We start from the raw sequence: 16,166 nt of genomic DNA on the forward strand, positions 1-16,166 counted from the left end.
TGTGGGCAAACTTGGCTACAAACAGAGTGTCCCAGGATGTTTTCTTAAATAGCTAATAAGAAGAAAATGCTAAGAGCATTTTCTTTGATTGAATTCTTCCTTACAACTGTAGCATAATCTTTGTGATGCTAGTCTTGCAAAAAATGTTTCTATTTTATAATTTTGGGAATAATTACATAACATAAGTGCTTTGGTACAGTTATAGTATAGACATTAGTCATTGAGGTATACTCCCATTTGGTGAAGTTGGAGAATAGTGATGGATGCTTTTTGTGTAAAATAATAATGTAATAAATGTCTTATCTTTTGAAGAGTTTAAGTTGGTTGTGATATTTTCATTAAAAGAAGTAAATGTACAAAAGTATAATTTTTAAGTTTTTACATCAGTAGCTAAGAATTTAGATAGTACGAACTCTTCTGGTTACAACAGAGTTTAATTGCCTAATTATATTGTTAAGTTCTTCTCGTTTCAGTCAAACTCAGCGAAGTCCCCATGTGTTTTATCGCCATGACTTAATCAATCAACTTCAACACAATCATGCCCTAGTTACTTTGGTAGCAGAAAACCTTGCAACTTACATGGAAAGCATGAGACTATATGCTAGAGGTATGTATTGTAAGCTAAAATAAACTATGGGAAATAGCAGGGACCTTTTTTTGCATTAATTACCTTAGAAATGTAAATCATGTTCCTTTATGGATTTAAGATCCACTATTACTCCCAACTCTTAGACATCCTAAACTCTAGGCCAGCAGTTTAAGAGTCTTCACTAAGTGCTTGCCTTCCCCCATTCTCTTTGTTAAATAGATTTTTGTTCTCTGCTTTGGGAGCTCTGCCTGCCTTTTTTACGATTGATCGCTACCTTCTTAGGAATGTACTTGGCTCATTTTCAACCTTTATGTCCTTTACCACCACCTTTAGCTTTTTAAAAGGAAACTTGTTTTGTCTAAGTCTGTTCTTACTTTATAGTTCTTTTATAATGCCAAGCCTATGTTTTGTAAGTGCTTCAAGACTCCATGAATTTAAAAAACATAAGAGTAGAGATGAGAGGCTGGCTGTAAGAATCTAGATGTTTACATTGGCATTCAAAGTGTGAAATTGTTTGAACATGTTTAGGATAAAGTTTCCTGTGATTTCAACAGATCCTGATTGTAAGTCTTAGCCTGCCATGTGTGGAGCCCTGTGTCAGTGCTCTTTTGCCCTTTGACAGTTATGTCAGTCTGTGTGTGCAAGAGTAGGGATGGCTTCTCAGTATATACTGTTCCTCTTCTGTCTTATGACAAATTCATACCCCTTTCCCCACTGATACTTTGTTGTTTCAAGTTTGTTTCCCGAGCAGTATGTAAGAAAATACTGTATTACGAATGTTAGTTATAGAGTTAAACATACTGATTACTCAACTTACCATTCATTTAACATGTTATGTAGGATCTGCAGAAGCCCATAGTGTATGTTAAAAATGAGAATATTTATAATACTCATTATTTGAGGAGTAGGCTTTTGACATTATTGAATAAAATCCCCTCGTGCTTAAGAATTACCAGATTTTTGCTTAATACTTATGTACATTTCCCAATGAAATTCAGATAAACATAAAAATTAAGTAACTCTTCTGATACTCCCAGTGATAGTGTTGACTCTTTATTCTTCCATTTATCCCCTCGGGGCCAATAGATTGTTAGAGCTAGACAAGCAATCTAAATGTTAGGCAGCTGATGAGGAACAGACAGTGATCTTAGCATTTTAGTCTTAGGTTCCTTCTAAGCAGTGTAATAGAATGATCAAGGCAATACAACCATGTGATTTATGTTCTATACCAAAGGTACTCAAAATCAGTGACATAAAAAAGAGGTTTATGTGTAGTATACCCAAGCATTTGGGTTTAGTATATTATGATTATAATCTCTTCCTGGTGGTACACAGCCCTCATGGTTGCCAAGGAGGGCCTTCCCCCAGAGTGGAGACATATAATTCATACGTGCTTTAATGCTAATTTTTATTTACTTCATTTGCATGTGGTGTTTAATTTCATTGTCAGAGGTCAGGAACCCGGCTGTCTCACTAGGGTTTTTTCTGCTACATTTTAGTACAATTCTACTTGAGTTACCGCCTCATCTCAACTTCGTTATCACAGGAATGATTACATTCTTCAGTTTTTCCTCCTTATGTTGTCTGTATATCTGCAAACTGAGAGATGTGAGTCTGCATAGTTGCCTAGGTCTGAAACATGACCCAAACATATTAGCTGTATGACTGTGGGCAGGTTATTTATGCTAGAATAATGTCTGGCACATAGTAAATTCCCCTCTGAATTTTAACATCATACCTTTTTTTCCTCCTAACCTTGGTACCTTTTCTTCTTCCAATTTATTACACTACTCTTGATTAATACTGATGAGTCTGGAGATAGTTAAATATGGGGGTGGGGGCAAATAATTTTTAAAACCAGTAAAATTCTTCTATTAAACTTTTTACAACGTTAAATCACTTCTGTGGTAACATCCACTAACATTTCTAAATTTGCAATTCTAAAGTTAATTATGGTTTTTGCCTCTATAATAAAAGTGATAGACAAATCCCATTAGCTATGAGGCATTAGGTTACTTGGCATGATAACATCAGGCTTTCACAGTTTACTGATATTCTCAATTTCTGATAACCATTTTACCAATGGTTTGTGCTGCCTGTATTTTATCTTCACTAGCATCTTTAGCTTTTGGGGGAAAAACATTTCCTCAGTAAGCATGATCAGCTGATTTTACCTCCTATAAACATTATTTAGATAAAAGAATGAACTTAGTAAAATTCTCTACAGTATTTACTCATGTTCTCACTACAAGTGTTTTCATACACTGGTACTTAAATTATTCTTTAAAAGTTTTTCATATGCATACAATGAAGTATAAACCACCTTTTAGTTTTCACTCAAGTTTTAACTCATTGGTAGAATAGTCATTCTACTGACTTCAATACTTACCGAAAGTTTAATTTACCATTTTTTCTTGTTTCTGGATAGAGTTGGATGACCCAACTTCACTGTAGGTCAGATTTTTCCACTCTGTTTACTTAGGATGCTACCTTCTGTTACTTCTTCCCGGTCTTTTCCATCCAACAGTAACAGTTTTTAGGAACGTTTTCCACACAAAAAGATTGCTTTATGAGTGTCATTCACCAACAGTGCTATGTTAGGGTGCAGATCCTGTGCTAGATTTTCTCAGGACTCATTCCTTACATCAACTATGAAGTACTATTAAGTCTGTGTGACTTCTCTGTGGTTTAAAAATAATTACATACTATCCATTTTGTGAACAATTTGTACCTTCTTGGAGAAACGGCTGTTTCCAGGCGTGGAACAGGGAAAGTACCACATGATCCTTGACCATCCTATTCCAGAAAGTAAGAAAGTGCTCAACGATCATGTTGACATGTCAAAAGGACACAGGAGTTGGCTTTCACTGGCCATAATTAGGTCAAAATTAGTAATGAAAATAAAATATGAAAATACTCATGTAGACAAAAATGCCAACTAACAAATGAAGAGTATATGATGAAAATAAACCCAAGGGGGTGAGGATTTTCACGTCTGGAATGGCAGAATAAAATGTTCAGCAGACCTTAACAAAACAACCATTTAACCGGAGAAAAATATAAACAATAGTCATTTAGAGTACCTGAAAATTGTCCTAAGAGGGAGTATAGCAAATGGGAAAACACTCAAGAAAATCTATTAAATCTGCAAAACAGCAAGAGTCTGTAGCATTTGAGCCACAGCTTGTTCTGTTCTCCCATGTTCAGATCCAGCTTTCTTGTGTGGAAACTCTACTCCAGGCAGGTGTGACTAAGAAGCAGGGGCTCCTTCCCTGAGGCTGCCAGTCTAGGGCTGTAGTTTGACCACATGAGGTGGTGTGGGCTACTGGCATTTCTGATCCTTTTCAGTCGTATGTGGCAGAAGCTCTGTTCCAGGCAGTCATGTCCAAGAAAACTGAGACTCCCTTACCCCATTCAGTGCCTGCTTGTAGGATAAATGCTTTACTTAAGGCATGGCAGGCTGAGAATATTGGGCTCTGATTATCCCCAACCTGGCTTGCTCACAGGGTGGACATTATATGTCAGGGAGTGCAATCTGAAAAAATCAGAGTTTGATCCCACACACCCAACACCAGCACCTGCTCTTAAGGCAGGGATATAATTTTGGGAGAAGTTAGCTGCTGTCCTCCCTCTATCTCCTGAACAGTAACATAGATGTTCTGTCCAGATGGAGAGAGAAGGTGTGAGGATGCTGTGCTCAGCAGTTGTGCTTGAAGGGACCAACTTTCTTTGGACCAGACCGTGCTGTGCCTAAGGGTATTATCACAAATGGAGATTTGGGTGATGAAGAATTAGGAGAGTGCTTGTGGCTCCCTTATACTGGTATCAGCAAGTCACAGGATGAGCAACCAGAAATTTAACAGAAAGATCTAGATAAAGAGATGGCCAAGACAAGCTCTCTTGTGATCACAGTCAACCCTGGGGGTCAGGAATGCTACGTGTATGCATTAGGCTTCACCTAAGCAGAAACAATCAGAACTGGACACGGGACAAATTGAAAACATTCCCCAAGCTTCATGTCAATCCGTCAGCAAAGGGTGAAAGCCTCACCAGTACAGTGGACTTAAATACAGCTCTGACCAAACAAAGCATTGGGTGAATAATAAGCTACCCCGACTCAGGGGCAACTCTTAGGAAGCCAGACATGAAAATTACATGTATCCCTGGCAGTCTGGAAGACTTGCTGCATCCTTGCTGGAGTGATTGAGAAGGGAACAAGCAAGCTGCTAGTCTCCGAATGAGCATAGGACAAAAACATAAACTTTCTGAGTGGTGTGATAGCAGCCTCCAAGCCACACAGACATGCAGTGGTAAAGGGTAAAAATCTACTAGTCAAGGAGGCTTAAACACAGCGTTTGGCCAATAAGGGGCTTATACTGATGCAGGGGCAACTCCTAGGTAGGCAGGCTAAAGGATTAAAAGAAGGAGGAAAACATGGGGGCAGAGCTGTCGGAAGCTGTGCACTGTGAGGGAAATAGACTATGAAGTCTATTTCCCAGTCACTATATCCCATAGCCATAGCCCTTATTTCCCATAGTCATATTTCTGTTTCCCATAGTCATAGCCCAGTCACTAAACAAGCAAGCAAACGGGTGGGGGAAGGGAGATCAGTATTCAGGTTGTTGTTGCATATCTAACATGTCCAGATTTTGATGACAAAAATTGAGGCATGCAAACAAATGGGAAGATGGGACCTGTAGACTGACGCAGAGACTGCCTTTGAAGGAGGCCAAATGGAGGGCTTTGCAGACAGACTTGACAGCAAAGACTTGAATTACAAATATGCTCATAGAACTGAAGAAAACCATGTCTAAAGAATTTTTAAAGTATGATGACAATGTCTAATCTAAATTAGAGGATAGTAAAGAGAAATTATTTTTTATTTAAAAAATCATGTAGAGATTTTGTACTTGAAAAGTATAATAACCAAAATGAAATATTCATAAGAGGGGCTAAACAATAGATTTGAGCTGGCAGAAGAATGAATCAGTGAACCTGAAGATAGATTAGTAGAAATTATGCAATCTGAAGAACACAGGAAAAGTGAACAGAATCTCAGGGAAATATTGGGTACCATGAAGGGGACCAACATTAATTTTAATGGGAATACCAGATGAATGAGAGTGACAGAAAGAGACATAGTCACTGAAAACGTCTCTAATTTGATGGCAGACAAGAAGCTTAAAAAAGAATTGCAAATAGGGTAAATGCAAAGAGCCCCAGACTGAGACACATTATAGTCAGAGAGAACAATTGGAAGGTGGTGAGAGAAAAACGAGTCTTCCTGCACAAGGAAACCCCAATAAAAATTAACCGCTGACTTCTCATCAGAAACATTGAGGCCAGAAGGCAGTAGGACAACATATTCAAAGTGCTGGGGTTGGGGGACAGACATGACAACCAAGAATTTTACATTCAGCAGCACAGTCTTTAAAATCTGAAGGCAAGCTGAAGATATTCCCAGATAAACAAAGACTGAGAGAATTTGTTGCTCTAAGACTTGGCTTACAAGACACCCTAAAGGAAGTAATTAGGCCCAAAACAAGTGACATCAGACAGAGTGTTCCGAATTTGCAGGAAAAAAATACTTGAATACTATAAACCAGCAGTCCCCAACCTTTTTGGCACTAGGGACTGGTTTTGTGGAAGACAGTTTTTCCACGGACTGGGGGGTGGGGGGCTCACCTCCTGCTGTGCAGCCCCGTTTCTAACAGGCCACAGACCTGACAGACATCTGTGGAATACTCCATCCAACAATAGTGAAACTACTAAAAGCACATATCATCTTAATAGATGCAGAAAAAGCATTTGTCCAATCCAGCCTCTTTTCAATATAGAAAGGCTCAAACTAGGAATAGAAGGGAACTTCCTCTACCTGATCAAGACTGTCCCAAAAAACCCACAGCTAACCTCATACTAATTAATGGTAAAAAACTGGTTGCTTTCCCCCTAGGAACAAGAATGAGACAAAGATGTCCACTCCAACCACTTCTATTTAACATTCTGCTTGAGGCATTAGCCAGGATAACTAGGCAAGAAAAAGAAGTAGACAACCCAATTAAGAAATGGATGCAAAGGATCTGAATAGAAATTTCTGCAAAGAAGGCATACAAATGGCCAATGAGCACTTGAAAAGATGCTTAGTATTATTAGTTATTAGGGGAATGAAAATCAGAACCACAGTGAGATAATGCTACTTCATACCTACTAGGGTGACAAAAAAGACAACAGTAAATGTTGATGAGGCTATGGAGAAATTGGAGCATTCATATAGTCCTTGTGGGATTGTAGAGTGGCACCCACCTTGCAAAATATTAATCGTAGAATTTACCATATTACCCATTCCCAGTTACATACCCAAGTAAAATGTATACATAAATCTGTACAACATGAATGAACTTTGAAAACATTATGCTAAGTGGGAAAAAGTCTGTCAGAAAAATACCACATATTGCATGATTCTTTTTTTTTTTTCTTTTTTTTTGAGATGAAGTCTTGCTCTGTCGCCCAGGCTGGAGTGCAGTGGCGCCAGCTCGGCACACTGCAACCTCCGCGTCCTGGGTTCAAGTGATTATCATGCCTCAACCTCCCGAGTACCTGGGATTACAGGCACATGCCGCCATTCCCGGCTAATTTTTTTTTTGTAGAAACGGTTTCGCCATGTTGGCCAGGCTGGTCTCAAACTCCTGCCCTCAGATGATCAGCCCTCCTCAGCCTCCCAAAGTGCTGGAATTACAGGCATGAGCCACTGTGCTCAGCCATGATTCCATTTTTATATGAAATGCCTCAGACTTAAGCAGGGAGAACAAAGGGAGAGGGTGGTTTGTACAGGGTTTCTTCTTGGGGTGAGGAAAAATGTAGACTTAGATTGTGATGATGATTATACAACTGTACTAAAAAAATTGAATTGTATTTAAATGGATAGATTTTATGGTACTTTATGACTCGATGTTTTTTTTTTAAATGAACTTTTAAAATAAGTTCTAAAATGGGCCCTAGAAAACTTGCTGTTTATGATGACAAGAACCAATTTATGTTAGTCTCAGCCATGATTCACTACCTCTTCCTACCTATTTTCATAGACATCTGAGTAATTTAGTCTCATCTAATTCTTCCTGCTGTTTTCAGCGGGATATTTGCCACCTAGACAATATGAGTCAAAAGTGGATTATCCTCCTCATTTGACTGCTAGCTAACAAGTCCAGGTATTTGTTTTGAACTGAATATTTACTACTAAACTACCAATTTATATATATACATATATATATATATAAATTTGTCTTGACAGCTTGGAAGCTTCTCTGTAGTAAGAGGGCCTCTTCATTCCTATTTAGCATAAAGGCATCTTATTTCTTGACTTTTATTGATTAGCTGTCAGCTGAATGTTTCCAAAGTTCTACTCTTTGTGCAGGGTCCCAGTTCTTCATAAGTAAAGTGTTAGCACCTAAACAAAAAAAGGGAGGTGGGTTGTTAGCTAAAACTAGTGGGCAAAAGTTTAACAAAATAGTTACATAGCCTCAAAGTCTCTCTCTACAAATTACTTATTAATTACAAAGAGCAAAATAGTACCTTTACATCAGAGAAACCTGCCTCCCTTCTGTGTTACTCGCCACAATGCTTAGACTGATCTAATTATGACGAAGTGGCATGGAAGCCCAAATTGAGTGACATTTCAACAAAATTGACCTCCAGTTTTCAAAAAGGTCAAAGAACACAAAGGATGATTAATTCTGCAGATTAAAGAATAGAAAGTCATGAAAACCAAATGCAATGTATATTTAATCTTGGGCTTTGTAGAAAAGATGTAAAAGGACGTTATTGGGAAAATTGATGAACTCGAATATGGACCATGGATTAAATCAGTGCTCCTCCGAGGGGGTGGAGGTGGCTATTTGACAGTGTCTGGAGCTGTCTTAAACTGGGGTTGAGGGGTGGGTAGAAGCCTGGAATGTTACTAAGTAACCTATAGTGCAGTCCTAGACAGAACAGTCCTGTACAACGAAGATTACCTGGCCAAACGTCAGTAACGGAAACCCTGGGTTAGATGATGGTAGTATTTTACTAGTGTAGTTTTCTTGTTATTTGGAAATACTCATTGAAGTATTTAAGGGTAAAAGGACATATGTCCAACTCTTAAATGGTTTATAAAGATTATGCACACACGTGTATGTGTGTATTTTTTACATGTGTGGCAACTAATGAAGCAAATGGAGGAAGATGTAAACAATTGGTGAATACAGGTAAAGAGTATAAGAGAATTCTTGCCTTTTTTTTTTTTTTTTTTTTTTTTTTTGGTGACGGAGTCTCGTTCTGTTACCCAGGCTGGAGTGTAGTGGCACAATCTTGGCTCACTGCAACGTCCACCTCCCGAGTTCAAGCAATTCTCTTGCCTCAGCCTCCAGAGTAGCTGGGATTACAGGCGCCTGCCACCATGCCTAATTTTTGTATTTTTAGTAGAGACGGGGTTTCACCATGTTGGCCAAGCTGGTCTCGAACTCCTGACCTCAGGTAATCCGCCTGCCTTGCCATCCCAAAGTGCTAGGATTACAGGCGTGAGCCATGGCGCCCTGCCTTTTTTTTTTTTTTTTTTTTTTTAAAGAGACAAGGTCTTGATGTTGCCCAGGCTGGAGTACAGTGGTGCAATCATAGCTCACTACAGCCTTGAACTCCTGGGCTCAAACCATCCTCTCACTTTTTTTTTTTTGAGACAGGGTCTTGCTATGTTCCCCAGGCTGGTCTCGAACTCCTGGCCTGAAGCAATACTACTGCCTGGGTTGGGCTTCCCAAATTGCTGGGATTACAGGCATGAGCTAAAACTTGATTTTCTTTCCAGTTTCTTAAGAAAACCTCTTGAAGTAGTCCTTTAAGTCCCAATCTCTGATGAAATATGCATTCCTGAAAGTAGAGTGTTTATGCCTGTTTGCATATTCCAATATATGTGGAATTAGAAAGTAGTTTGGTCGTAATATATGGGGCTTTTTTCTTTACCAAAGCATCAAAACCAAATATGTTTCCAGACATTATGAATGTCCCATCTTTATAACACATCAGGAGTTTGTTCAGAGAAGAAACATCAATGTTTTGAAGAATTTGATTACTGATTTCCAAAAGAGCTTACATAATTAGAATCTTTAACAATAGCTTGCACATACCATAGGGTCTGGGATCTGATATGGAAATATAGTAATTAATGCTGAAGGAAAATGACACATTCTGGACATTAACATGGTAATGGTGACAATTGTATGATAACTTGGTCATGTAGAGTAGCATCTTGTGTTACCCTCACTTCTTAGGTGTAAATTAGTAATATTTATTTTTATACCAAAATAATTTTTTCTTCATGAAAACACCTTTCAATATAACAGGTAAGAAATTGAAGAAAAAAATTTTGTCTTCCTTATCAGTTCATAGACCACTTAGGTCAGTCTTAGGCTGCAATCATGAATTGCTTCATTGTGTGTGAAGGTTGCACGAAGGGGTTGTGCTGAATAATTATTTTTGATAGCATATTTAACAGATTATTTTGTTTTGGTTATGTAACAGGAACGTATTTTTGTGGGGAAAACAGGAGATGGATAGAAACCACCAACTGGTAGAATTTAGGTTGCCTTTTAATGATAAAGGATTAGTGACATTTTAACTGGCCTAATTTCTTTGGTTGAAGTCAAAGCAGTGATTTGGGTTATCCATGTGTATAATGCATGGTTTTTTCTTAATTTGCAGACCATGAAGATTATGACCCACAAACTGTGAGGCTGGGAAGTAGATATAGTCATGTTCAAGAAGTTCAAGAACGGCTTAACTTCCTTAGGTTTGTTTTATACAGTTAGTGTTGCTCTCTTTAAGAAAAAGATAAGGAATACAGAATGAATAGACTGTATAGCTTGGTCTTTGTTGGGTGGCCTTTTCCCAAGTCCCCAAGTCATGTAAGACATTTCCCTGTATTTGTTACTAAATACTTTAAAATGATTCGCTGAGTTTTAACTTTGTTGCAATATTTTAAGAGAACACATTTTAACCTTTAGAATTGACTTCGTTCTTCATATCTGTTTATGCTGGAAATAATGTTTATTTTTAAAGGGCAAATTCCCATATTTTGACACAACCGGAAGGAGGACTATACTGACTTAATGATATCATAGACACTAAGGAAACGGGGGCAAAAGGCTGCTAGACCAGCACCTCAAAAGAGTGGTTGGAGTCCTCTGGTATCTTGTTTATTCTAACAGTGGCTGACAGGCAATCTAAAGTCATGTGTTAATAATATCATTTCTGATTGGCTTGAGGGGAAAAGGTTTATTAAGATAAAATGTAGTCTAGGGCTGGATTTTCTCTGCAATATTTAGCGTTTGGTGATCATACACTTAACAGATGTGCAAAGTGCCTTTGTTAAAAATTTTGATGGTCAGGCACGGTGGCTCACACCTGTAATCCCAACACTTGGGGAGGCCAAGGCAAGTGGATGGTTTGAGCCCAGGAGTTCAAGACCAGCCTGGGCAGCATGGCGAAATCCCATCTCTAAAAAAAAATACAAAAATCAGCCAGGCATGGTGGTGTTCACCTGTAGTCCCGGGTACTCGGGAGGCTGGGGTGGGAGGATCACTTCAACCTCGGAGGCGGAGGTTGCAGTGAGCTGTGATTGCACCACTGCACTCCAGACCCTGTCTCAAAAAAAAAAAAAAAATTTTTTTTTTAAATGAGAGGTTCCTTTTGAATTCAAAAAACCACATGTAGCAAAAGAGCTTGTTTAGATTACAAGTGTGCTAACAGAAATGCCCAGATTATCACTGCTTCTTGAAGTCTATTTTATTTATTTATCTTATTTTTTTGAGACGGAGTCTCACTCTGTCGCCAGGCTGAAGTGCAGTGGTGAGATCTCAGCTCACTGCAACCTCCACCTCCCAGGTACAATTCTCCTGCCTCAGCCTCCCAAGTAACTGGGACTACAGGCATGCGCCACCACGCCCAGCTAATTTTTGTGTTTTTAGAAGAGACGGGGTTTCACCATGTTGGCCAGGATGGTCTCTATCTCTTGACCTCGTGATCTGCCCGCCTCGGTCCCCCAAAGTGCTGGTATTAAGGTGTAAGCCACCGTGCCTGGCCCCATTTATTTTAATAACATATTCTGGGTAGTTTTGTCCTGGGCTGTGTTAATTATGGATTTCTATTTATTGAACTCTGTGCTTATTTATGGAGAAAATTTTAAGTAGCTATATAATGATTTTGAGGAAAAACCTCTACCAAATTTTAAGAAATTTGGCATTTGTTTAAAGTGCATTGTTTTTTTTTTTCCTGTGTGTTTTGTTTTTAACCACCTGGATAGAAGGACTTGCCTCCTCCCCACATTGAGAGTTACTGCCATAGTAAGCAGTCGTTACTGATTGGCATGTGTTATATGTCTCTTAGGTTTACTAGAACAGAAAAGTGGTTTCAAGCCTTTTTGCCATTTTAAAGTTTGGAATCAGAGGAACTATTGTAGTTTCTACTCTGTTAGTACCTCTGTATGTGAGCTAATAGCAACTAACTCAAGGAAGAGGAACCTGACTTTAATGCCTGCTGTGTGTTGGGCCTGTGCCAGACACTTTATATTTACTCCGAAGCAACACAGTGCAGCAGGTGTTACTCCCATCTGATCAGTAAGAAACCCAAGATTCCAATGGCTTAAGGTAGCTTGTTTGAAATATCACAGCCAGTATACGATGGAATTGCACTACTCAACTAGGTCTCTTTTACTTAAGTCTGTGCTCTTCCTATTAGACCGGTAGTTTTTCAAACTTACGTAGGAGCTTTAGGGCTTCTGAGTTAAGTTCCTTGAAGATTTCTGAACAAGCAGTAGGAAGTTTCCCGATTTTTCCTTTCTTTTTCCTCTCCCAACAACTGGTGCAGCTCTACTTTTTAAAATATATATCAGATTCCAAATGGGATTTTCATTTGAAGAAGGGTCTATGCCATCTTTAGAAAAAAACAAAAAAATGGAAAACCTTTGAAAAGTTAAGCAGTTTTAACTCATAAATATTGATGGATTAGTTATTTGTGAAAGTCACTTGATTGAATACCTCATTTTTCAATGATGCCATATAAGCAGGCTGCTAAGTCTTTTTTCTGGTTGTTGTTGTTGGAGACAGGGTCTCACCCAGGATTCTCTACTTAAATATGACTGTTGTTAATTGAGTGCTACAATTAAATTAGCCATTGCCATCTTTAATTGGAGTGCAGCGGCACAGTCTTGGCTCACTGCAACCTCCGCCTCCCGGGTTCAATTGATTCTCATGCCTCAGTTTCCCCAGTAGCTGGGACTACAGACATGAGCCACCACACCCGGCTAATTTTTATATTTTTAGTCAAGATGGGGTTTTGCCATGTTGGCCAGGCTGGTCACAAACTCCTGACCTCAGGTGATCCGCCCACCTCAGCCTCCCAAAGTGCTGGCATTACAGGCGTGAGTTACTGTGCCCAGCCTAAGTCTTTTATTTTTAACTCAAGCTACTAAACATGCTTCTTTCCAAAAGTCTGGTTTCAAAAACTAAAGGTTCATGGAATGAATCTTTTATTCCTAATTCAGCTAGCTGCATTTCAGGCACAAAGTGGGTGTTCAGTGTGTGCTTGTTGAATTAATTAATATCTAGTGGGGATTTTTTTTTAGTACCAGATAAAAGTAGAGAAATAGGTTATTTTGAAAGAATGAATATCTTTTTATCTATAGTTAAAATATAATGGTGATAAATGTATTTTATAGGTAATACAGATTGCCTTTCCGGATAAAAATTACATAAATCTAATTGCCAATTTTCAATGTTTTTTCAAGATTTTTATTGAAGGATGGTCAGCTGTGGCTATGTGCTCCTCAGGCAAAACAAATATGGAAATGCTTAGCTGAGAATGCAGTTTACCTTTGTGATCGTGAAGCCTGTTTTAAGTGGTATTCCAAGTTGATGGGGGATGAACCAGACTTAGATCCTGATATTAATAAGGACTTCTTTGAAAGTAATGTGCTTCAGCTTGATCCTTCTCTGTTAACTGAAAATGGAATGAAGTGTTTTGAGCGATTCTTCAAAGCTGTGAATTGTCGAGAAGGAAAACTAGTAGCAAAAAGGAGAGCCTATATGATGGATGACTTGGAGTTAATAGGATTAGATTACCTTTGGAGGGTAAGTCAAAAGTAGGAACTCTGTAAATGGTGTCTGATGTACTTTTTCATGTACGTAAGGAATTGTAATTTTGCATATAAATTGTGTATTTTACTCTGATGTTTGTCTCAGGAATTTGGTGTAGTTAGGAATTGTTCATTTTTATTATGTCACCTGTCAGTGGGCTTTTTCTTCTCTCTTCCTCTCCCTCCTCCTGCCACTGATGTTCCTTTTGTCTTAGCTTAGTATCTGTGTATTCCATAGATGTGCACTAAACATACAAATCTTTCATTCCTCCCCCGTGGATATTAATGTTCCTTCCCGAGTTTTCATTCAGTGTCGATCTGTTTCCTCCTCTTCAATGTTTAACACTAAAATAGAGGACAGAAGAGAGGACTTGTGTTTAGTATAGATTATGAGTATATGCTTTATTGGCACTGTTTACCTTGTGATATTTTTAAATACCTGGGGGAATAAAATACTATCTTTTTAAGGCTAATCTATTTTTATAGTACTACTCTATTATGCCTATCTTTAATCTGACCTGTTATACAGCAGTTTATATTGTTTGGATGTCTCACATATTTTCCTGCAAACCATAGATAAAGATGTTTATTGTGGCATTTGAGTATTTAAAAGCTTTTAATTAAGTATGTGGTTTTCAACATTGTTTTAACAGCAGAAACACATCTTAAAACTCAAAATTTGCACCACACTACAAAAGTAAACTGAATTGAACAAGGAAAATATGTTTTCTTACTTGGTCTCCCCATGCTTATCCCCTTTCCCCTCCCCAACCCTTTTATAGGGGCCAACACTGAAACACTTCCTCAAAGTCCCCTAGGGTTCTGAACATAGTTTGGAAACCACTAATGTAATTAGATGAGTGATAAAGATTTATAGAAACTGGGGGTAGAGTAGTCCTTTATGCTAAACTGTGTTTCATGTAATCTCTTATTTCCTGTCAACTAATTTGAATTTCTTCTTGAGTGTCTCACTTGGTTATCAAGATATTAAATTATAGGGTTAAATAATAGTGGTCAAAGCGTATTTTATTTTTACAAAAATGTACCTTTCATTCTTAAATTATTCAGAGACTTTCATTTTGCATTTATTACCCTTTCTTTTGGTCTGTGCTTCTCACTTAATTTTACTTGATTATCAAAGTCAACTTACCATTAAATCATTGAATAGTGTGTTTAAGATAACTGAGGATATGGTTTGAATTTAAATGCCCAACAAAAATATATGTTGAAAGGGATGAATACTTTTATCATTTTGAAACCAGGTCGTGATTCAGAGTAATGATGATATTGCCAGCAGAGCTATAGATCTCCTCAAAGAGATATACACGAACCTTGGTCCAAGACTACAAGTCAATCAGGTGAGGATTGATGTGCATTAAAACTTCCATATATAATTCTTTCGGCCCCCATTTCTCTTATACAAAAGAGAAAAAATATTATCTAAATGAATCTTGCCTTGTTAGTTGTCTTGAAGTGATTGGGTTATTTTTAATATAACTATTTATTAGATGTTGAAATGGCAAAGAAAGTCTATGTGAATTCATTTTGATGCTAACACCTAATCCTGAAGTTCACTTTTGACTAATTTATGTTTGTTAACTTATGTAATGCTAGCTTCCTTTTAATAAACATACATTTTATTATTGTATGGATTCTCTACTTAAATATGACTGTTGTTAATTGAGTGCTACAATTAAATCAGCCATTGCCATCTTTAATTGGATTAATATTTGGTTTTTACATTTTAAAGCAATTTTAACTGTGTTTATTTGGCCTGATATTTGTAGGTGGTGATCCATGAAGACTTCATTCAGTCTTGTTTTGATCGTCTGAAGGCTTCCTATGACACATTGTGTGTTTTGGATGGTGACAAAGACAGTGTTAATTGTGCAAGACAGGAAGCTGTTCGAATGGTTCGAGTATTAACTGTTTTAAGGGAATATATAAATGAATGTGACAGTGATTATCATGAGGAAAGAACAATTCTCCCTATGTCGAGGTTTGTGAATAACTAATCTATTGGTGCTAATTCTTAATTATTTGATATTTTCCTAGCCATTTGGTAAAAGGAGAGCAGAAATTTTTCTCGTTTGAAAATTGTTGTCTTTGCCCATTAAAAACATTTTCATTTCATCTAATTTTTTTTAATAACCTCCCCCACTCTCCCATCTGGTTTTGTTTTGGTTTTTTGGGTGAGGCATTCTTAAGTTGTTTTCTAGTTTTCTTTTTGTCTTTGACATTATTACTCATTAAGTGTTGCAGTGGCATTTTGCAGTTGAAGTGTTTTTGTTTATTTGTTTATTTTGAGAAAAGGTCTTATTCTGTCACCCAGGCTGGAATGCCGAGGTGTAATCATGGCTCACTGCGGGCTCAAGCGACCTTTCCACCTCAGCCTCCCAGGTAGCTGGGGCTACAGGCACA

At 37.9% G+C, this 16,166-nt stretch overlaps 1 protein-coding gene across 8 annotated transcripts in view; it reads left to right on the forward strand.

Annotated features, from left to right (window-relative positions):
* USP9X (ubiquitin specific peptidase 9 X-linked) overlaps nucleotides 1-16,166 on the forward strand; it is a 151,135-nt gene that overhangs the window by 67,030 nt on the left and 67,939 nt on the right. For 4 of the 8 annotated variants that reach the window (NM_001410748.1, NM_001410749.1, XM_005272675.5 and 1 more), the window contains 5 exons: nucleotides 459-607; nucleotides 10,316-10,403; nucleotides 13,398-13,740; nucleotides 15,008-15,103; nucleotides 15,533-15,744. In NM_001410748.1, coding sequence (NP_001397677.1) covers nucleotides 459-607; nucleotides 10,316-10,403; nucleotides 13,398-13,740; nucleotides 15,008-15,103; nucleotides 15,533-15,744 — 888 coding nt within the window. The remainder of the gene's footprint in view (nucleotides 1-458; nucleotides 608-10,315; nucleotides 10,404-13,397; nucleotides 13,741-15,007; nucleotides 15,104-15,532; nucleotides 15,745-16,166) is intronic. The other 4 variants (XM_047442548.1, XM_047442550.1, NM_001039590.3 and 1 more) reach the window with 1 other exon arrangement.

Source organism: Homo sapiens, chromosome X, assembly GCF_000001405.40.
Source record: "Homo sapiens chromosome X, GRCh38.p14 Primary Assembly".
NCBI classification, from domain to species: Eukaryota; Metazoa; Chordata; class Mammalia; order Primates; family Hominidae; genus Homo; species Homo sapiens.